The following is a 23,966-nucleotide window of genomic DNA, read 5'->3' as shown; positions in this document are numbered from 1 at the left end:
AAGCCCAGAGATGCCATCTTCTTTCCCCCCAGCCTTCTTTCTCCCACATAAATGCAAGCACAGAAACTCGGGTAATACTCTGCTGGGAGGTAGTCATTAAGAATAATGTGCATTATATTTTCTCATTTATCTTTTTTCCATTTATTTTAGAACTTATGTTAATCTTCCTGCTACGGAGAGAAAGGTTATAATTAATCTGAAAAGTGTTTCTTTGGTTTTTCTAGATGAGAATTCTCCAGCCAACTTCTGGGATTCTAAGAACAGGGGTGTGACTGGAACACAAAAAGGGCAAATTGTATGGAGAATTGAGCCTGGGCCCTATTTCATGGAACGTAAGTAACTAAGTGTGAAATATAAACTTATTATTGAACATTGCATAAGTATGCAGAATTCTATGGAGTCTTTTTGAATGTTATTTTGAAATTCTTTGGTTTGGATTTACATATTTATGCCATGATGGAAAATATATTGTTTTAGAAAATGCTCAGTAAAGAATGTTCACATATTTTGAAAAAACTGTATGTGTTTAAATATACAGTTAGCCATCCATATCCGTGGATTTCACACCTACAGATTCAACCAACTGTGGATCAAAAATATTCAGGAAAAAAAAATGTCATTTTGTCTCTACTGAACAAGTACAGACATTTTTTCTTATTATTCCCTAAACAATATGGTATAACAATTATTTGCATAGCATTTATGTTAGGTATTATAAGTTATCTAGAGATGATTTAAAGTATACGAGAGGATGTACACAGGTTATATGCATATACTCTGACACTTTATGTAAGGAACTTGAGCATCTGTGGATTTTGGTATCCCATGGGGGTCTTGGAACGAATCCCCCGTGGATATCAAGGGACAACTATATAATATGTGCATGTGTGTATATGTATATACACACACACACACACAAACATACACATTTACATATATATGCAAATATTACATGTACATACATATACATGTATATATACAAAAATATATATAGTATATTTTATATTTTACATATACATAATGTATGGTATATAAATTATATATGGTTACTTTAATACTTTACACATTTTTATATACCCTTTATATCTATAATTAATATTTATTCATATGAATTTCAGAAAGAATAAGTCAAGATATCGCTTAATTTAATAACATGACTTGCCTTTGAAATATCTCATTATAATTTTTGCCAGCGGCAGAATAACTTCGTGTGTGGACCCCAGTCTTTTCAAAGTGTTGATGAAATAGACGGGCTCACTGACATTGAGGTCGGCTTACCAGAAAATCAGACATTGGCTGCAGATAACTCAACTATTACCTAATTAATTCAGTGTTATAGTCATTTATAAATTCAAATGCTCATATATAGTGCCTGGTTCACAAAAATATCTTGTCCCTTTTTCTGTTGGGTGATGGTGTTATTTATAGTTGCCACCAATATTATTGAAAAAATAGTAAATACTCAGTACATTTTTGTGGAATATATAGAAGAAGGAAGGAATAAATGCTTTACTAGTTGGTCCAGGTTAACTTCTACATTTATAGAATTTATTTTTCTTTCTTTCTTTTTTTTTTTTTTTTCTTGAAACGGAGTTTAGCTCTTGTTGCCCAGGCTGGAGTACAATGGCGCAATCTCGGCTCATCACAACCTCCGCCTCCCGGGTTCAAGCAATTCTCCTCCCTCAGCCTCCAGAGTAGCTGGGATTACAGTCATGCACCACCACGCCCAGCTAATTTTGTATTTTTAGTAGAGACAGGGTTTCTCCATGTTGGTCAGGCTGGTCTCGAACTCCTGACCTCAGGTGATCCGCCCGCCTCAGCCTCCCAAAGTGCTGGGATTACAGACATGAGCCCCTGTGCCTGGCCATTTTTCTTTAATGTAGAAAAAAAAATGGGCTTTTTAAACTTTTTCTGAGTTGTTGAGCTCTGAGTGAGCCTTAAGATTAGTATATGCAAAAGATTTAATATAAAAGAGAATGTGTGGGTACTAGTACTTAAAGATAGCACTTACTAAACGTGAACATTAAAGATTTGATTAAATGGAAACCTGCCACAAGCATATCTTTGTGAAGCATATCAAACTTCTCTAATACACAGTTATCTTAAAAGGTTAACATCTGTTACTTTGAATTGCCATTAAAGGCATGAAATAATTTCTTTTACCATCCTTACTAGTAAATCAGCACTCTAGAACTTTCTCTAATCCTGCTTCTGCCCCATAAGAAATGTCTTCTTTTCATATTCCAGTTTTCTGACTGGATTCTCTCTTAGGCCTTAAAAGAAATGTCATTTTTAAGGGAAAATGCTCACAAAAAGCAGAGAGAAAGGAAGGTCAGAAAGGGGAAGTAGGTACATTCAGCAGAATCCTAGCTAATAGCACAGCATATAGGAAAGTTTGGAAGAAAACTTGCCAACATGTGAATGAGGATGGTTTCTGGCAGGTGGAATTATGGATGATTTGTTTTTCCGACTTATGTCTATGTAACTTTCCAACATTGCCCCAGCTGGCACGACTATCTAAGTAATGAAGAAATAAGTGATAAAAGAATGTGGGAAAATGGAATGGGAAATAGCTGGTTTTACTTTCAGTGTGATTCCTCCTTTGAAAGGATCCTGGTGTTTAAAAGGCTGATCTAGCTGAGAAATATTGCCAACTGAACTTCAGGGGAAAAGGTAAAATCACTTCCTTTGGAGTGATTTTGGCAAAATCACTCCAAAATGCTGAAGGCTGCTGGTAATTATTGCCTGTTGGAGTGCACAGATTGATATTACAAGGCTCATGTGAACCCATGGGAAGAAGTCAGTACCACATGCTGCTATAGTTTGGAATATAATGTGAGAAAAAGCCCATTTACAGAGTATCCCCTTTACTGTGATTGATTTTCTTTCTCCCTCCCAAAGTGTTAGAGATTCATAATGTCCTGGCTGATTAGGCTATAGTTAAATAGATCTGTCTTGACTGATTTCTCTACATCTCACCCTAGTATTTAATAGAAATGGGCTTGATATTGAAACTAGGAGTTGGGAATGAAGAAAAGAGAAGGGTTTTTTTTTTTTCTTTTCTCCGTATTTTAGCATTTCCACCTTAATTCTTCTCACATAAAATTGGGAGTATTGCGGAGCATAATTGTAAAACTGGAAATATTCAGTGATGCATTTTTTAAAGACTGAGAAATGTAGTATAAGTAAAGTTCAGGACAGTGAATAGGAATTTCAGAAAGATTCTCCTTTGAATAAGTCTTTCTTCATTAATCAGAATGAAGCACTCCTTGCCCCACCAAAACACTCACCCCCTACCCTTGCAATATAAAAGAAGTTGTAATTATATTTATAGTGCCTAGAAATAGTCTATGCCTTTGGGATGTCATTTTTTTTTTTTTTTTTTTTTTTTTTGAGACGGAGTCTTGCTGCGTCTCCCAGGCTGGACTGCAGTGGCGTGTTCTTGGCTCACTGCAACCTCCACCTCCTGGGTTCAAGCGATTCTCCTGCCTCAGCCTCCAAGTACCTGGGATTACAGGTATGCATCACCATGCCCGGCTAATTTTTGTATTTTTAATATAGACAGGTTTTCACCATGTTGGCCAGGCTGGTTTCAAACTCCTGACCTCCAGTGATCCACCCACCTTGGCCTCCCGAAGTGCTGAGATTACAGACGTGAGCCACCGTGCCCGGCTGGATGTCATTTTTAAAACCCATTGTCTGGCTAGAGCATTCTTAAAGGGACTCACAATGGAATGTTGGTTGAATCTCTGGAGCTGATTGCATGGAACTTTTTTTTAAAATTGTGAAGAGATTAGACAGTTTCTAAAATATTTTCCACCTCCAATCCTGAAAATGCAAAGTATTTAAAAATGTTTGTTTTTATCTGCAGAAAGGAAATTTGTTTATCTTTAACTCACCAGAAGTCCAAACAAAGGTTTAAAAATCTCTGAAAATTGATCTATTAAAGTTCCAGGGAAAACCTGGATTTGAGCACTACGTAGGCTATTTGTGAATTTAAGATGGCTTTAGTTTGTCTGGATAAATCCCCAGAGGAGGCAGGTAGTCCAAATTTATTTCATTATAGGGCTTACCTGAATGGATTTGAAGGACAAAACCAAGTATAAATGTGGGTAGATGAGCCTCAGGGCATTCAAGAGGAGGGCCAGCTTCATCTACACTTACTTGTCATAAGACAGTCAAGTATTCAAGAGAGCTCAGGCTCACAGAACCTGAATGGGTCATTTGTGCAGTATGCATTTGTGAGTTTTAAAATTTAAGAGGTTTCAAAAGTACTGGCAGGCCAGAATGTCTGTTTCATTCTATACAGTCTTTTATGGGTTGTGGTCATTCATTTATTCATATTTGCTTTCTGTTCTTCCTTCCCTCCTTCCATCCATCTGTCCATCTATCTCCTCATCTATCCTGAAATATTCATTGAGTGCTACCTTTGTGCTGGGTCTTATTCTAGGTGCTCACTAAATCTTGTATCAATGAGTGAGCTTAGAGTACTAAACTTCATCCTACATTGCTATGTACTGAATTGATATGTGATCATTGAGGAATATGACAAAACACTGATATTTGTATAAATTACATAGCGATTTCACATACTTACCCATCCCAGCCCTGGGAAATGTATATAGGATTAGGAAACAGTATGCAAGTGACAACTGTGAGTGAGAGTCTTTTCTCTGAGTGGTGCTCAGGTTGGTACCTTGCCAGAATAGATGTGTCATGGGTGCCTTTTTATTTGGTGTAGATGGGGTGGCCTCGGTCTCTTATTTTTACTATCAGAGCCTTTTCTGTAACTTTCACCATTCCTAAGTCCCCTCCCACCAATATCAGAAAGGTCTTTTTGCCCCTTGGATGGAGATTTAATGCTTTTCATCCCCCATCTTCACACTTTATATTTTAGGCCCAGTTAGTTCTCTAGTCCTATTAGGTTTCTGCCACATCTGCATGGATATTGTCCCTTTTGTTTTTCTGAGTTTTAGCAGAGGAAAGCCTGGCCATTTCAGGCTCCACTGGCCCTTGTTAAAGAGAAGACAACTTCCAGTGACATGTAACTGACAAGTGAGCATGTCACTGGCATGTGGGTAAATTTCCTCAAAAGCATGAAGAGTAAAGCTGTGAATAAGAATCATAATATTAATAGTTTAATGAAAACACATAGGACAATGGTGAAAGTCATGTTCTAGAATAAATTACGATTAGCTTGATTCTTTAAGATTATTCTACCTTTTAAGTAAAATAGATATGATTAAAGGAAGAAGGACATTTTTATTCCATCCATCTTTATGCTTCAAATATTCAACTTCTAGAAACTTGGGGAAAATCCAGACTCTCTAAATAGGAACAGGCTGTTAACTACTGCCTGAGTGAATCGTGTAGCTATTTAAGATGATGGATGAGATCCTAGTCTGAGGCAAAACCATTTCTTGCAGGGAGTGGCTTGTAGAACCTTTTTGCAGAGAGGGCTTGAAATATAATCTTATATAAATGCCTAGGGTTAATACAGCTGAGTTGTGATTGCTTTTCTAAAAAATAATTTTGAATAGGTAATATACGAAAGAGTATAATGTTTAAAAAGTATAAAAATTGAAAGTAAACGTCTCCCCAGCTTCATGTCCAATTGCCAGTTTTCCCACCCTGAAGGCAACCACTACAACCAGTGTCAAGTTATCTATCTGGAAATATTTTATTCATATACAAACCCAGAAATGTATTCTTCTTTTAAACAGGTGGTAGAATGGTTGATTTTAAATGCAGTGTCAGAATTTCACAGTTACAGAAACCCCTTTACTCGAGAACAGGTTTAAGTTCCTAAACACTGTTCAAAGCCCCTCCGCCTCCCCAACTTGCCCTGGAATATGCCCAAAGTGACGTCTCACAAATGACCACCCTCCAACCCATGGTAGAGGGGAGCAGGCATGCTGCTACCCTGAGGGACATCTTCATTTGTATTTATGAAAATTAGTAAGTCAAAAATTTGAAAATAATGGGGCTTTTCTGTTTAAAGAATATTCAAATACAGAGTGCTAAATCTGTATTTTAGCAATGCTATAAGCAAATGTATCCTGAAGATTATCAAAAGGGGCCCTTATATTGCCATGATCTATGACTGGCTTCAGCTGTCCAGAAGGGACCTCAGAGAGCAGATGCCGCTCATCCTCTGTTCTCTTCCTCCTGAGGCTAGACCTGGCTCAGCCGATATCAGGTCCTTACAGGTTCGTACAGGATGCCTTTCCCTTTTCCTAGCTCACTGCCCTCTGAGGCAACATGCTTTCGATTAGTGAATTCAAAATACTCTTTTTATAGCCCAAAAGAATGGAGGTAGATAGATATATAACATATATTATATATTTGGATACATATAAGTATATGCAAATATTAAAATGTTTCTATACAAATATATATTTTATATATATATATTTTTTTATTTTTTTCCCATAATTTGAGGCCAGCAGGGGGAGATGTTGCCTGCCACATCAGGCTGTGGGAAAAAGCAGCTAGGATAGATGGACTCATTCATTGCTCTTTGGTCCATGTCCTCCATCTCTCCTGCTTATGAACAGGAGGGCTGGGCTCTGTGGATCACTGGGGTCCTCCCTAATCAGTCATCGTGCCTGTGCTTACTTCCACCTGCCTTTGTATATATTTCTCAGAAATAGCTTTTTACAAAAAAAAAAAATGCTCCTCTTGCAGTCAGAGGTTACACATTGTAGGTGCAACAGAAGCCTGTGCCCCTGGGCACCAACTTCCCTTTTCCATCCTTCTGAGCATTCTTCCGTTACCTCTTCCAATAACCAAAATATTCAAATATATTAATCAAAATGCTGCTCTCCCCCTTTGTCAGAGGGGATGTTGCTTAGTTACACCATTTTAAAAAATCTTGTATGATGTTCTAAAACATTAAATAACATTTAAAGATGAAAACTCCCACTCAGAGTGGAACATTCTGATATTTTTAGGGGCAGGAATCTTCACTGATGTCCTGCTGAAGGATCCAGCTAGTTTTCATCCCTACGCAAACCACTCCTCATTCTGTCCAGGACTGTTTTCCTCTCTAGTGACCAGCGTGTGTGGTTTTGTAATGGGTGATCTGTGGAAATCCCCTCAGCTTTTTGTTCCTGCGACACACAGCTCTGTAGCACTGGTGGGGGTGGGGGGATTGGATCATGCCCACAAAATCTACTTTTGTGCAATTCGAGATACATTGATCTTAGTTTCAGGGATTCTACTTTGTCATCTGGGTTGGAGATTTTTGTTATAGCAAGGAATAAAGTAACACCCAAAATGGGTCAGCTAGCAAAGTTGGCATGATTATCATCATCCTCCAAAAAAAATAAGCAGTCACATTTTTTTTATCTCATTGTCTGTTACCTAGTCGACTATTAAAACCTTAGGAAAAGAAGATGGCATCCTAACTTGAGACAGAGTTAGGGGAAGATATCTTATAAAAATGCACTTCTCTCTGTGGAAAAATGGCCTGCTCACTCGCTAACCATTGATTTGATCTATGAGGTGCTGCCTGTAGACAGAGCCACGGATGTTTGCTTCCCCAGCATGAAGAGTGTGATACCAATGAGCTCATGTCCAGAGAATTCAATCCCCATGCATGTTACCACACTTTATTCTGCTCGGACCGTCCTCGTGCACACTACTTAGCTTTGTTCTTGCAGACTACATGCTATTCGTCTTGGAAAAAAGCAAGTGGGAGAGTAAAGTTTGCTCAGGTCTGTCCAGCTACTACTATTTCAGAAATAACCAGTAATCTGTGTTTGTGTTCAGGAAAGTCATTTGCAGAAGAGTTCTCAGGGAGGCAAAGTAATAGTAAAGCTAGAATTCCTGCGTAGGTCATCTCGCCATTCTTCAAACCCAGCATGCTTCATCTGTGCCTCCCTGCTTTTGCCACTCCTTAACTCTCTCTAGCCCCATTTTGCTCATCCATTAGACCTGTTTTTTCCATGACACCTTTCTGACTCCACCATGTCCTCTCTCATCTTCTCTACGCTCTCTATGCTGTTCGACCTGGTGCTCTTCCTTTTTAGTGTGTGTCTTTTGTATTTTGCCATGCCTGTGATTGGCATCTCAGCAGCTACACTACAGAACAGCCACTAGACCAGAAACCTTTCCTTGATTCCCTTGCACTTTCTGGCACATTGCTTCCTGGCCATGTGCTGTGGCAGGTACGTAGTAAAAATCTTCTGGCCAATGATGCTTATTAAATTATGAATTATTGGATAGTGACTCACATAAATAATATAAGGACTCAATATTTTTACCCCATAACAACTTTTGTTTTTTTGAGATTTAGTATTTGTTCATTGGTAGGAAGAGTGTAATGATATAAATTCCTGGAAGAGGATTTTTCTTCAGTTATCATATCTTTCTCTTAAAATAAGGAAACCAAAGACCCTGCAGGAGGCCATTTGGTACAGTCGAGAAAGTCAGTGAAAGATGAACTTCCTTAGGGAAATACATTGAGCAGCCCCACTTTAATAGTCCTGGTGACTCATTTGAGAGAGGAACTCCCTCCCGTAGCCTAGGATTCTCCCTCCAGGGCCTGCCCATCAGCATCCTTGCATATTTAGAACGACACCTTGGGAGAAATGCATCTCGCAGTGACACTTCAGTGACTCAGACGCTTTGTATACAGAGAAATTCCAGTGACTGTAGGTTTATCTTTAACACAGTTTGGTTTCGTGCTTTGGAATTGTAGTTACTTTCCAAAAACCATAATTGGCATTTGTATTACTTTCTATCAAAGTGGAATTATCAGAAAAAAATGTATGAAATGTGTGGATTGCCACAAGCTGTGAGATATAGACATCAGTTGTTTGTAGATTTGATCCCTGTCTACTGGGTGTATTTAAATGACTTGGAAAATTAAAATAATATAAATTTACAGATCCTGTCACTAGAGAATCTACTACAGTATACTTCCATGCTTTGTTAGACTGCTTTTCCTCTATTTCCATTGAGAGCTACAGTCAATGTAGATAGAGGTTATGAGTGAAGGCTTTGGAATCAGACAGCTCAGGTTTGAGTCCTGACTCTCATTTCTTATCTGTCTGACCTGCAGCAAACCTCAACATCTCTTCTGTAATATGGGGAAAGGAATTTCTGCCTCCCAAGGTTCTGTGAGGGTTCACTAACAACATGAACGTGAGACATAACATTGTGGCACGTTAAGGAGCACCTCAATAAATGCCAGCTAGTCCCATTCTTATCGCTACACTATTTCTATTTTGGCATGTTGTTTTGGTGCATCATTTTTCTGATATGTTCAAGAGGTTACAAAGTTTTGGAGGAGCATATAAAATCAAACAGAAATTGATGTAATTTGTTGGCGCTGAGTGGAAAAAAGAGGTCATTCAGAGTCATGAGTAGGATTCCCTGAGAGGTGGTATGGTGGATTTCCACAGCTGATTCCTCCATGACTTGTTTCACTGTTTAAATTACTGTTTTCTCCAATTGCTTTGCAGCGGAGATAAAAATCTGTTTTAAATATTACCACGGCATTAGTGGAGCCCTGCGAGCCACGACCCCCTGCATCACCGTGAAGAACCCAGCTGTGATGGTGAGTGCCCCTCGCTGCCAGCTTCCTTGTGAGATCCATGCTGGGTCTTGATTTCTATTTTTACCTGTGCGGCCCTGACAGGGTTATGAGGAACAATGAAAAAGGAAACACATAACAGTGTGGGCACTGTTATAGGAAAGGAAATAGCTTACAAGGTTGGCACACCTGAATCCCTAATTCGAATCAGTGGAAACATAGGATTTGATTTGTAACAGCCATTTGTAGAGTCGACTCTCCGGGGAACCCATTCATGAAGCAAAGTAGCAAGTGCCCCATTTTGGAAGGTTTAAACTTAGTGTGGGTGACCAGTTGGTAGGAAAGAGTGGCATTGCATCTTATGTGAATTTTAACTATTTAAATTATGGGTGATTTACCTGCCAGTCAACTTAAGGAGCCGTTGCTCGGAAGGGAGTCTAAGTTGGCAGTCACAAATGCACTGTTTTCCTTAAGGTCTTAGTGCTGGTTCCTTCTCAATGCTGAGTTTGGATCTAGTGTCTAGAGATATGGCTCATATTTTGGGTAAAATGTGGCCACTCAATGGAAGTCAACTTCTTTAACTTCAGAAGTTGACTTCAGAAGTCAGGCCTTCAGTTGAAGAAACAGATACCTAATTTACTTTTGTAGGAAACTTGTTGTGTTGGACTTTTGAAAGAAAGCCTGCCCATTTCCAACATGGCAATTTTGTGATTTTTTAAATTTTATTTTAGAATCTAACAGTCTCACAATACACAGCTACACTGTATATGGGTGGTTGGACTCAGATGGTTTGGGGAGATTCTTAGAGTCTAAGATATGTAAATTACTTCAGTTTTAATTAGTCATTACTAAAAATGAGGTCATGAAAGCATAGAAAAAATACTGACTCCTATGACATAGAATCTTTACAACATTGTATGTGTGGGTGTATGTGTATATACACATTTATAGATGCTTGCATTTTTGGAAACAGGCAAGTAGTCAGGTTGAAATTCAGAAAGCAGTCTTTGCAAATGGCACTTTGAAATTGTTCAGACTCACCCTATGCTGTCTCTGATAGTGCTTGTACCTATCAAGCACTGTATCAAGCAGTCTTTCCCTCTCATCTATTCATTTAAACAAATATTCATTAAATGTCTGCTAAGTACTAAGCATTGTGCCACCACTACAGATGAAATGATGAAGAAAAACGCCGTCATTGATCTCGTAGGTCTGGTGCAGAAGAGAGACATCAATCAAATATTATATTTATTTGAGTGATAATTGTATGAGAGGGAGCAAAATGGGGCAAGAGAGCATGTTCTGTGTAGTAGGATTTGTCCTGATCAGGAAATTCCTGGAAGGCTTACCTGAAGGTGTGTCCGAGAGACAAGCTGAAGAATGAATAGAAGTTTTATAGGTGAAGAGGGAGGGAAGAGCGTTGCAGGCAGAGGGAATAGTGTGTGCAAAATCCTCAACATCTAAGTACTCTGCTCACATTAGAATTATATTTGAGTTTCCATTGTAGTAAACATAGTGTAGAACATAGAAGAGAAGCCTACATTTACTATATAAGACTTTGAAGGTCACAAAGAGAATAGCAATTGTTGATTACAAAGTCTGCCATGTCACATAGTAAGCACTGGAACAGACTTTAGTTAATATTCTAAAAACGGAAAGTTACAAAACTAGAAGAGTGGGGCTGTTTTTAATAAAATCTTTAAAAAAATCATTGTGTCTGAAATTAGACAACAGCTTCCAAACATTTTTAAGCATTTTCTGGATTTAGATTTTTTTAGACTTGAGCAATTTCAGTATTTAGATATCATTGAAGGCAGTGGGAGTTTACGGTTTGTTGAACACTGATCTTATTCCATTGATTTTTGCATTGAGATTGCTCTGTCAAAGCCTGTGGATAGTTTGGAGATAATTTGCTTCAAACAGGTTTCAGAGCATCTTGAAAGTGTCACAGATACAACACTGGCAATCAGTATAGTGTATTTTGGTTCAGAGACTGAATAATGCCATGGGTCTTTAATCGATTTCTGACCAAGCTTGAGACAGTTTGGTCTATGTCCAAAATTGAAAGGCTGTACCTCATGGGCACCTCATTTTGGGGATCAGGACTATGTTTCTATAATAGCATGATGGTCATCTAGGTATATGACATGTGTTTAGTTATGTGACTGATTAACATCCTTGATACTTACAAATCCCACTTAGTACAATTATACCATGGCCAGATACAAAGAATAGACCTGGAAGATGTAATTGAGAAACTCCACAGGGAAGGAAATGAGCTGTCATGCTAATCATGTGGTCTCTTTTCTCACGTATCCTATTGCGATGAATTGAAGATTAAAAAAAAAAGGGGGACCTCTCTGTCATTTGTATTTTGTTTTCATTGTCATTCATCAGCATACACAGTGATATGTGTCTTAGATACTTGGAACAGGAAATCTTTCGGCTTCAGGGACAAATTAAGGCTGCCATTACTCACTACCATGTATTGTTTCAACACTTGGTTGACGTTCTTATTTCTGGGTTTTCCTGGAATGAATCTATGGAGTGAGTTTATTTTAAAGCTAGTCTCTAAACATTGAGTGCAGATGTGTTTATTATCCCTAATATCCCTGTATCTAGTGGTAATGCCTGGTTTTTCCTGGCTTTATTGTAATGAATGATAAAAATTGAATTATTTGGATATGATTTCAGATGAGCATTTTGCCAGAGTTGTTGTTCAGGACACTTTTTCTGTGAAGTCTTTGAGAATTGTTTCAGGAAGCCTTTTGCCAGAGGGTGAATTACATTTGAAAAATGAGAATTAGAGGACATTTTCTTTCGTTTCTCATAATTTCTTATAATTTTCAAATAGGTTTTAAATGAAGACAGGTTATGAATTGTTTCAGCCTCATTAAACTCATTTAGCACAAATATCCATAGCTGACAGAGATGTGTTTTGAGGGGTGGCACATCTTACTGGGGCGTGTGGCCCATTTGCAGAGAGGCCGCAGTTTCTAGGATATCTTCCTGTGCCCAGGCACAGAAGGAATGGCAGGTTACCGAGGGTGTGTCTCAGTCATAGTCCAGCGTAGTGTGTGGTGAAAGCAGGATGAGATAGCCACAGCAGTTAGTTCTCTGGCCAGTGTACTGCTGCCTCTGCCCTAGTTAATCTGGAAACGCTGAGTCAGAGGAGTACAATACAATATAATAAACCACACATGTTTGTTGAGAGCCAACTCTATGACCCAGGAATTGGATCTATAGATGGAAGGAAAAACAGATACCTGGATGGACCCTGGTGTGTTGCAGAGGACATGTGAAGCAATCAGGATGCAGTTAAGTGGCACACAAAATAGTTTGACTAAGGTACAGGAGTTACAGCGGAGGCAGTAGAAATTTATACTTCAAAATTTGAATGGAATTTCTCAACTTTGCTTGGATTAGTGATGGCTTTTATCTCCTGGGGATGTGTGATTTTTATAAGAGTGTGGGGAATGCAGCAAAGATAAAGGGGAGAAAGAGTTTAAAAAAAAAATCAGACCTGGGCAGTAGTTAAGTAGTAAAAGCAAATTCAAATCACGAACTATTGCATTAGGGGAAAAGAGAACTCAATATAGAATTGGCTCAATTCCAGATACAACAAGGGAAAGTGGGGGTTAGTAGCCAAGAAGCAGGGTTGGAGTGGAGGGATTGGCAGATGGAAATTTACCAAGAGCTTAGGGGGATTCTTGTTAAACTGACCTAACAGAATTCTTGCTGATGGCGGGGCCAGAGTGATCAGATATCGCATGGAGGTTGGTGGGAGATGAGGAGTTCGATCTGATATCAAGGGTGATCACATATTGAGGGTGGGGATTGACTCTAAACTGACTTACCAGGGATTTTGCTAAAACTAAACTCTATAAGGATGGAGATAAAAGCCCAAGGCCTGCCTAGTTGAGCAGAGAGCTCCAAAGAGCCTGAGTAAAGTTTGCTCAAGGAAATAATCTTTGTCAGAAGAATTTAATCTAAACTTCAGAATTAAAATGTGGTTCTATTTCCCACATTTGGGTATATTCTGCCTTCAATTCTGTTGACTTCTTTTGACTTATTTTGCAGAGTAATATGAAGGTTTTTCTTCCTAATGTACCACAAATTGTGCATTAATTGTACATAATTTGAGAGAAAGGTCTAAATTTGCTAGGTGGTTTATAAATTACTGGCTTCTTGTGAGGTATAATTTACTCAAAAGCTTTCAGGAAAAGGTTATCAGTATAATAGCACTGCAAATTCTTATTATTGCTAATTATAGTAGCATGTGCCATGTACCTGCAGCACAATAGAACACAAGCCTACAAGGGAGATAGGACTCCATGTGGATTTTCAGAAATACTTGACGAGAGAGCATAATTCTGTATATATGGGTAGGTCTGATATGAATCAATTGTTTCGTTTATTCTAGGTTTTCCTAACAAATCTGAAGGAACTTGATGTTTGGTTTTTAACTAAAGAGAATGTTTAATATAGTAATAGTAATATATTTACTACAAATCAACTATATTCTTATCAAAGGGAAAAAAAGACATAGTTTGATTCATAGTTATTGGAAATTTTGAAGCTTATATATTTTTTATTTGTGGTAAAGATTAAATTTTAGTCTTTCCTCCAAGAATCAGCATTTGTGTCTCTGTTCCAAGATTGGGAAATGAAAGGACACATGATACAATACCCGTTTGATGCAAAAATCATTGCATTTAGGAACATACATGGTTTCCTAGTCAGATCCAGTGGCATCATATGCTTCTGAAACTTCAGATGCATGTTTTTTCTTTTCAGATGGGGGCAGAAGGCATGGAGGGAGGTGCTTCAGGAAACCTGCATTCTCGAAAACTTGTTAGCTTTACATTGTCAGGTAAGAATGTCTTTAAACGTGACATCCAGTTTGAAAGTGTACAGTTTCGAAGGTATGAATAGTCACTTCTTTCTGCAGACTTTCGTATATGATATGATGATATGTGAACTAGTTTTGGGGGGTCATACTTCTGAAAATTCAAGTATATCTCTTACCATGATAAATTAATTATTAATATAAATTCAGAAATTATTTCTTCTACCAAGTTTTCTGGCGATAGACAGTCTATATAACTATGTATAGTTACTTCAAGAAAAACTGTAACGTAATGTGCTAACCTCACTGAGGAGCTTTGATTATTGAAAATAATTTATTCTTACTTCAGCTAGAGAAAGAAAAAATTTGAAGACTGGAAAACAAAAGCCAATATACTTCTTTATCTGTGGAGGAATACACATGCAAATTGGAAAGTGGATAAGCCAATTATTTTTGGCTTGTTTTCTGATTAGTAAAATGTTCAAATTGCTTGTATGTTTACCATACAAGTAAAGCACGGCTTTTCAAGTTATGAGACAAGACTCATTTCCAGTTTGTAAGTTTGATTTAGTTAAAATCAGTAACTGAAAAAAAAAGAATAATGTCAGAGTTTACCACTAAAGGGATTTTTTTTGGGTAAAGCATCAATTTATATAAACTGAAAATTTTCATATACAATAATATACATCCCTATATTTATGTGTAGTAGGTTGCAATGTAAAATGTATTTCATACATAGGACACTGTTGAAAAAGTTTGAAGGGCACTGATTTTAGAAAATAAATTGGTAGTCATAAAGTCAAGAATAAGAAAATCCATATTTGAAATAGACTTTTAAAACAGATAACTATGCTACAATACATAGAAAATAAAGTCTAATGGATCTCCTTCACTGGAATATGTTTTGTTTTCATTTTTCTGTAGTTGTAGTACTTCCAAAATTTAAATTAGATCCACTTTTCTTGATTGCAAAAAACAAACAAACAAACAAAAAACGTGTTGTGAGAGTGAGCGTTAAAAGACCTGATCCTGAAACAGACTATTCCACAAAGCATAATTACCACATATGACTAAAGTGTACACATCAGTTCATTGCTGGCCCATGGCCTTCTGAGTATCTGTGCTTGGTTTTGCATGTTTCTCCTTTTCCCATATGAGCTTGCTTTTTTGCTTGGCTTCCCTGGTGAATTTCAGCAGCTGTAAACTAGTGACTTATGGTTCAAATTTGGCCAATAAATTTGTTTTGTTAGGAACCATCAGGGTTTAAAAAATATCTAGGTTTGCAGAAGGGCACTAAAAATAACCACTGCCTGTGGTACTATCTCCCTACCCCTCTTATCTGCCTGTTTCCTAAAAACATTTTGGCTGGACACCTGTGCTTTAAACCTTCACAGTATTGAGGGTCTGAAGCTACTAAAATCCCTGGTGACAGGCAGGAAACAATTTGTCGACCCTGATAGCTCAGAAAATTTAGAGTATGACCACACCATGGGTTTCTTGTTTTTGTTTTTTTAATTTACAGGTAAAAAAAATTTTTTTATGGTGTACAGCATGATGTTTTGATATAAACCATGGGTTTCTTAGTTTAAAATTATTACCCTATGCTTTTAGGTGATCCGTATCATTCTAAGCATGACACACACTTATTGGTTTTGACTCCAGATGGGATGTTATTAACTGACTATGTGAGAATGACCATCTGCAAGTTAAAAATCCTAGGGCATTTTCCTAAAAAGTAGGAAGTAAGCTTTGAGGCACAGCCAAATGCTTCTTCCTTACACATTTCTTCCAACATCGCACCTCTATTCACATGGAGGCTAGCTACCTAACATCTGTTTTATTTCTTACCATATAGCCAGACATTTGCAGACAGTGTACAGAAATGACTAGGAGCTGAAACCAATTCTATAATGTTAATTCTAAAAATTAATCTGGTTGTAGCATACTAACAGCAGATGATAATATTTATCTGAGAACATTTAAGCACTTTAGAATGGCTGCCTACAAATGTTCCACTCTTGATTATCTATGGATAGGTAGGGGCACAAATACTTGAATTTTATGGCTAAAATTAAAAATGTATTTTCATTAATATTTTAAACATGCTGCAAATAAGGCTTTATTTAGGATATTTAACACGTCAAACCTTTGTGACTTTGAGTCCTTCTTTGGCCTATTATATGGTGTGGATATTTGTGAGCAATAGCATATGTAAAAGACAAAAAAGAAAAGATCAGAAATGAGATGGATAAAGGGAACTGAATAATCAGATTAAAAATCACTGGTAGTTTATTGTATTTATTAAGGAAGATTTATTTGTACAATGTCCCATTGTGGAAAAATTTTGTATCAGGCTTATCTAACAGTGATATTATTTATCGCAGTGACTTAATTGTCTGGTGGAATGCTTTTTGTTCAAAGGAATATTTTTTGTGAATGATTTAGCTCTGTCAGACCTTGTGGCATTCATTTCTGTCTATGTTACTCTTTATTTACTACAAAGAGAACCCTTTTTTGGGCATAGATTTAATATATAAAGAATATCATTCTTCTGTCTGGGTTCAAGGGCAACATAATCAAGAAAGGCAAGAAAATGAATGTGGCAATTGCATTTTCTTCTCAAAGCTGTTCCCTGCTGAAGAAAGCCAAGTGAAAGTAGCATCATTAAACTGACAGTAAGATGCAAATTCTGCATTTAATAATGAGTACATAGTTTACGAAGTGTCAGGAATGGGGACTGCACGGCTAATGAGATTATGGCAGCCTCTCTGAAGTGCCTATCTAGTTCTTTACCCGTCTTTTCCTTCTCCTACTGGTTTTCAGATCAAAGATCTTGCTATATATTTCATGCAGTGTTCTCAATGTGCAGTGGCTCACGCCTGTAATCCCAGCACTTTGGGAGGCAGAGGTGGGCAGGTCATGAGGTCAGGAGATCAAGACCATCCTGGCCAACATGGTGAAACCCCATCTCTACTAAAAATACAAAAATTCGCTGGGTGTGGTGGTACGTGCCTGTAATCCCAGCTACTCAGGAGGCTGAGGTATGAGAATCACCTGAACCCAGGAGGCAGAGGTTGCAGTGAGCCAAGATCACACCACAGCACTCCAGCCTGGCGACACAACGAGACTCTGTCTCAAAAAAAAAAAAAATTGCTCTTAGTTTAATTTTTAAATATTTGCAGATATATCAAACTTTCCGCCTCTACTGCCAGGTGTGTGTCATTAGACCTTTCTGGAGTGTTTTCAGCACATGTACCTGGGCCATGAGTTCTTGTGGGCCACTGGTGAGCCACCTCCTGGGAGCTCTCCTTCAAGAATACGGTTCTATGGGCAATTTCAGGCCAATTCTATTTTTCTAAGAAAGACCTTGTATTTCAGGAATGGGCTTATGTGGGATGACCCTGGTGACCTCCTATAATTTAAGAGTCACTATCCAGGATCTGGTTGCCAGCTAATCTGGGTAATTCAAAGGTCTTTGGAGGTTCAGGGGCCATATGCAGAATTTCTCTCTGAACCACAGTGTTCAGAACCTCCCTAGATTAATCTTCCAGCATTTTCTAAGATTATTTAGCTCCCAGGCCTATCTTATTCAAACTGATATTCTCAGAAATGTTGAAGACTCAGTGGAGCCAGCTTTATTTCCTGACATGTTTGTGTCTCTTAGCCTGACCATGGAAAAACATACAGTCTCCTCACTAAATGGACTTTGGCTAGGACTTTTAGCAGCATATAGTGTGAAACAGCAATTTGTGAATCTAAGGTGAGTTATAGGACATTCTTCAAATATTTAAGTTACTTTACTGGCTATTTAAAATAGCAGGTAGCACTTACATTTCAGAAAACATTTCCCCTAACATTCATCACATTTATGGAATATATATGACATTTTGTGGTACAAATGGATATATGCTCTGATGTTTCATCTCCAATTAAACTTAGTTCTATGTATATGTAGAAGATTCATTTTTCTCTCATGAAGGAACATGTTTTTCAGTGAACTGCTTACTCAGTATTTCCCTCAAGACATTGTCTGAAATTCTGGTTGCCGAATTACATTGCCCTAGGAAAAAGGTGGTGAAGATGCACATGTTGGAATCAAAAGAGTTCCCAGGAAAAGTCAGTTTAGGGATGTGAGGTGGTGCTAAAGGTTTGGCTTCACTTTTGCGGCCTGTTAGGTGACCCCTCTGCTGAAATTACTACCATAACCCATTTGTCTTCACTTATCTAAGCAATCATAGTGTGAATAACTGCTATTGTGTTACAGAGCCGTTTCTGTTTAGAGCCTCCTGTGTGTTTATTTAAGAACAAATTATCTTTGAGCTGCTTGTTCTAATCAGGACATATGAATCCTTCCTTCTTCTGTCCCTTGTTCTCTCCCTTCCTCCTTTCTTTCCTCCCTCCCTCCTGCTTTCTCTTTGTCCCTCCCTCCTTCTCCCTCTTTCTTTAAAGATCTTAGGGCAGTTGGGCTAAAGAAAGGGATGTTCTTCAATCCTGACCCTTATCTTAAGATGTCAATTCAGCCAGGAAAGAAGAGCAGTTTCCCCACCTGTGCCCACCACGGGCAGGAGAGACGGTCTACTATCATCAGTAACACCACCAATCCAATTTGGCACCGAGAGGTAAGATGATCCTCGGGGGTCTCCTACTTGATGGTGAGGAAGTCAGCCCAGTCTCTCTCTTTCCTTGAGACTTTTGCATCCCTCAGGTTGTTTATGAAGTGTCTAGGGGTTCTGCTGGGAAGGGGTACAATGAGAATGAGCTATTCCCATCTCTCCAGAGCCAGGTCTAGGGTAAGACAAATGAAGCTGTCACATCAGGGGAACAATTTAAGGAGCCTCCAAAAAACTCAATTGTTAAAATAAAGGTCTTAATGCAGTTTTTTTTAACTCACAATTAATGCAAAAAATTCATAATGAATAAAATATGAACATTTAAAATAAGGACAGGATCAGTAACATTGCCTTGTAGAGTCATAGTAGGGCCTGAGGCAAGAGGAAAAATCAGCAATACTGATCTTGTTTTATTTAAAATTTTGATATTTTGTTGTAGCATACATTTAGTACAAATTAAAGGAATTTCTCTCTCTGCGGGCTTTGGCAAATGTTTTATGAATTTCTAGAGTTTTGTTAATTAGATGAGCCATTCAAGGAGTCATCATCCTGAGTGAAGCCAGATTGTGTTGATGGTATTTTAGACTTCCTCACAGCTACAGTATGCTACCAGTCATCTTAGTGCACCATATCAGTGAAATCAAGCAAAGGGTTTTCTCATTTGAACTACGGAAAGTCAAAGAATGAACAAATAGACACTTCTTATCTAGTGAGCAAAGCTTGAGCTCTCCCTCCATTTCTTGGAGATCTGAGGCATGTTTTACATAACTAGTGTGAAAATCTTTCTGGGCTGGCATAGGAGTTACACAGTTAATTAGATCATACCCTAAATATTTAATGACAACAATATGTTCTAACAATATTGTAGAAATATTTAATTGGAGAGAGGTATATCAGGGGATCTAAAACCGATTGCAGAAAAGATATAGTTATCTGAGACTTGCCAACACAGCAAGGCATTTCTCCTGGGCAGTTCCTATGGTTTTAGATATTGAATATTGCTTGTATTCTTACACTTGGTTTAAGAAACTACTAATGATCTCATCATGGTAAAAAAAAAAAAAAAAAACAAACAAAAAACAAAAAAAACTCTTAAGGGCATGCCACTTAGTCTAATGCATTTCAAAGCCTAGAAGAAATAAAAATATATCTCAATATGATTCTAGAAAGCACATAATAGATATGATAATGAAACAAGCAGTAACTATTTTCCTAACATTTTAAATTTGCAAAGTTTTTGACCATGTCACCAGTGCAAGCCTGAAAGGGAGGCACGAAGGATGAGATTATTATGTCTTCATTTTGGTGATTAAGAAATTGAAGCTTAAAGTGTTTATGGGACTAGCTATTCAGAGACAGAAGTGGGGATTAAACTCGGCTTTTTTATTCTAAGCAAGTACTTTTTTCCATTAAGCAGACTGCCAAATTGCTTGGCCCTTTGGAAAACCTTAATTGTTATGACTAGATAAACCTAGAGGCACCTAAGTGAAAAGTTGGCTAACACTATTCACATCACTATAGTTGCATGGATACTGTCAGGGAAGCAGTGAAATAATTTAGGTTAGATTCCTGGCACCATCATTTACTTATCCTGAGATTCTCATCTTCAAAAAGAAAGTTACATCGTTGTAAAGATAAAGTGAAGATAATATATGTAAAAGTCTCTGTGAGTAAAGCTCTTCATATTTATTTTATATCCTTATTAATGTCCGATCCAAATTTCCCCAGTGGCATTCTTAAAATGAAAACAACAAAAGCTATCTTAACCTCATACTTTTATTTTTCTGTCCCAGAAGAAATGACCCTGTATGCCTTTTAAACTTAAGGAAAAATTCCATTTAAACATTCTTTTAACATTTATCAGGGAAACCACAGTATTCTGCAGATGTTCCTATTTTAACCACTAAGTGGAGGAGTATTTTCAACTATGTTTTGCAACTTCAGAATTTCATGAGATTAGGAATTCAAATTGTCAATCAAATATACTAGTTAATTCTAATCCATTCTATAACAAGATATTAAATATCAAAGAATTGAGATACAATAAATGTAGGGAGTACTAAAATTGCATTGTGCATAACTTAATATTTGATAACATCTCCTAAAACTGTGAAACTAGGAAGGGCTGCATGATTGACTGAGAGGGCTTCTTTTGTCATACAGATCCTTGACTGCTGCTTTTTAATCATGGTGAATGCTAATCATTCTGAGTGAATAAAGGATTGACAATAGCTGCAGCTATTTCTAGCTATGTGGAACTCTGTATGTTGTTAGAATTTAAGAGATACCATTTCCTATACAAATAAAATGATATAGTATCATATTTGTCTTTCTTTTAAACCAGCATGTTATCTGTTTGTGTTTTCAGAAATATTCCTTTTTTGCACTTCTTACTGATGTCTTAGAAATTGAAATTAAAGACAAATTTGCCAAGAGCCGTCCCATCATCAAGCGTTTTCTGGGGAAACTAACCATTCCAGTCCAGAGGCTGCTGGAGCGACAAGCCATCGGGTAATCAGCCCTTACCTTTGGGGATCTTGTTGAGATTAGTTCATATAGGAAAAAATGACATGAAACTTGGTAGTCCTAGGACTTTTCATACTGATAAGAAGTAGTAACACAATTCTTTTAAAAATAAAAGTGTCCTTACACTTATTAAAATGTACTTGACAAAAAAGTAGTTTATTTTAATTATATATGTTTTTTGCGTCTTTATCTTTTCCAAGATGTACCCACTGTTAATATTTCAGTGTCAAATCTCATAGTGTTTGATTGTCTCTCAGTATATTGGAGCTTTTTATAAAAACTTCTCCCTGGGGCAGAATTCTTGGATCAGGTTGATGCCTACCTTATCCTAAATAATTCCATCCAGAGAACTTGTTACTCTTGAAAAACGGAAACAATCTTGTCTTGGAGCCATTTAAAACGAGACCTAGACTTGAAGAAGTGTTATAATAAAGCTCCTAGACATATACATTCATTCAAGCAACTAAAATTTATTCATTGACATTCTCTTAAAATTTAATGTGTAATTAATGTCTATTTTCTTTTTGTGAGCTTTTTGTAAGTTGTGAGTAAAGTAGTAAGTCATACTGAGGAGATAGAGAAGACCAAAAACAAGTTATGCAAATTAATAATGCATAGCTGACTAGAGGCTCTAAACTGTACAGTGGAGCAAAGAGTAGATAGAAGAAACATTGTATCTTCCTTCTGAAATAGCCATTAGAGGGCAGAGGTGGAGTGATTTGGCACTATCCTTTTGATGATTTTCCTTAATTAAGAATAAGTTGGCCGGGCACGGCAGCTCATTCCTGTAATCCCAGCACTTTGAGCGGACGAGGTGGGCAGATCACCCGAGGTCAGGAGTTCGAGACCAGCCTGGCCAACATAGTGAAACCCTGTCTCTACTAAAAATACAAAAAAATTAGCTGAGTGTGGTGGCGGGCACCTATAATCCCAGCTACTTGGGAGGCTGAAGCTGGGAGAATTGCTTGAACCCGGGAGGTGGAGGTTGCAGTGAGCCAACATTGCACCACTACACTCCAACCTAGGCAACCCGGGCAACAGAGCGAGACTCTGTCTCAAAAAAAAAAAAAAGAGAGAAAAAGAATAAGTCATTTAATTCAGAATAAGATTGTTACTTGTGTGCAGGAAAATGAAATGACTGCATTTGACTTTGATAAAGAAACAGACTTGAAACAGATGGAAAACTCCATCCTTCAGGAGGCAGACAGTCCAAGCCCGGGGCCCAGGCAAGGCAAAAACTAAACCTGCTTCCAGATCTGGGATATGACCCCACCACAGGGGCACATCTGGCTTTGCCAACCATCCCATCAGCACTGCTTACAAGGCACCCTGAGAATCAGTGATAGGCCAGGCTTCCCAGCAGGGAAGGCCAGCAGCTCCAGCCTCCTTACTCTACAGGTGAGGAAGGAGAGCTTAGCGGTCCTCTCCCCATCACACAGCCAGGGCTGCTGTCTTGGCTATGAAGGGCGCTTTCATTCTTGTGTTCTTGTGCTTCTCTCCCCTAAGTCCCAGCTCCTGTTCTTCAGGGCATAGCACAGTGCCCTACGTGCCATGTTGGGTGATAATCCTTAGCTGTGAGTGTCCTTTTAGAACCAGCTTTCTGTTGTGCTAAATGCCGAGGAACCAGGCTCTCTCCCCTTTTACACCCGAGTCAAAAAACCCCTAAAACTTGAGGCCTTTCACAACTCCTTTATGACCTTCAAAATGTCCTTTTCCTGGTCACCCTTAAAAGTGAGAGAGTGAATCAGTGTCCTTAAAAATATCACATAGCATATGATGTCTTGTGCTCGTAATAATAATTTTTCTTATGGCAACATTTCCTTTTATCTCCGGGTTTATAAGTGTTCCATTTGTATGAATGAATAATATTACATTGGACTATAATGGGCTTTGAGCCTTTAATGTTCTTGTGAGTCTGAAAGTTTTAAGAGAGATAGGAGGGATTTGGTGGGTGGCCTGTGGAAAGACGGCGAAGGCTGACTCCAGCGTAGTCAGGATGAAAGAAGCATTTCTCTTCTTGCAGTGATCAAATGCTCAGCTACAACCTTGGCAGAAGGCTCCCAGCTGACCACGTGAGTGGGTACCTCCAGTTTAAAGTGGAGGTTACGTCTTCTGTTCATGAAGGTGAGATATAAATATATCTGTATGAATACATTGCTATAGGAAAAACTTGTTAAACCTAACTCGATTGTCAGTTTGCTTCTGAACAGAATTGAATTCATGTTCTGTTTTGAAAGTAAAATAGCTGTCAAATAATTACCTGCTGAAATTTTCTAAGCAAGTAGGAAAGGCTGTTTGCCCAAAAATGTCTCTTAGATTGATGCCTGCATTTTGAAACTGGGCTGTAGAGTTTTCAGCCATGCTAACATACATAGCTCCTGTGCCAAGCTGACTAGCAGTCTCCTCATTTAGTAGTGAGTGGTGAATCTTAGCAAGTCAG

At 38.0% G+C, this 23,966-nt stretch overlaps 1 protein-coding gene across 12 annotated transcripts in view; it reads left to right on the top strand.

Annotated features, from left to right (window-relative positions):
- The window catches only part of HECW2 (HECT, C2 and WW domain containing E3 ubiquitin protein ligase 2), a 399,483-nt gene that overhangs the window by 249,566 nt on the left and 125,951 nt on the right, over positions 1-23,966 (top strand). For 11 of the 12 annotated variants that reach the window (NM_001348768.2, XM_006712646.4, XM_047445197.1 and 8 more), the window contains 6 exons: positions 225-332; positions 9,471-9,565; positions 14,339-14,414; positions 18,840-19,009; positions 21,369-21,511; positions 23,550-23,650. In NM_001348768.2, the coding sequence (NP_001335697.1) occupies positions 225-332; positions 9,471-9,565; positions 14,339-14,414; positions 18,840-19,009; positions 21,369-21,511; positions 23,550-23,650 (693 nt within the window). The remainder of the gene's footprint in view (positions 1-224; positions 333-9,470; positions 9,566-14,338; positions 14,415-18,839; positions 19,010-21,368; positions 21,512-23,549; positions 23,651-23,966) is intronic. The other variant, NM_001304840.3, reaches the window with a different exon arrangement.

This window comes from Homo sapiens, chromosome 2, assembly GCF_000001405.40.
Source record: "Homo sapiens chromosome 2, GRCh38.p14 Primary Assembly".
NCBI classification, from domain to species: Eukaryota; Metazoa; Chordata; class Mammalia; order Primates; family Hominidae; genus Homo; species Homo sapiens.
This window is presented reverse-complemented; position numbering and strand designations above follow the sequence as displayed.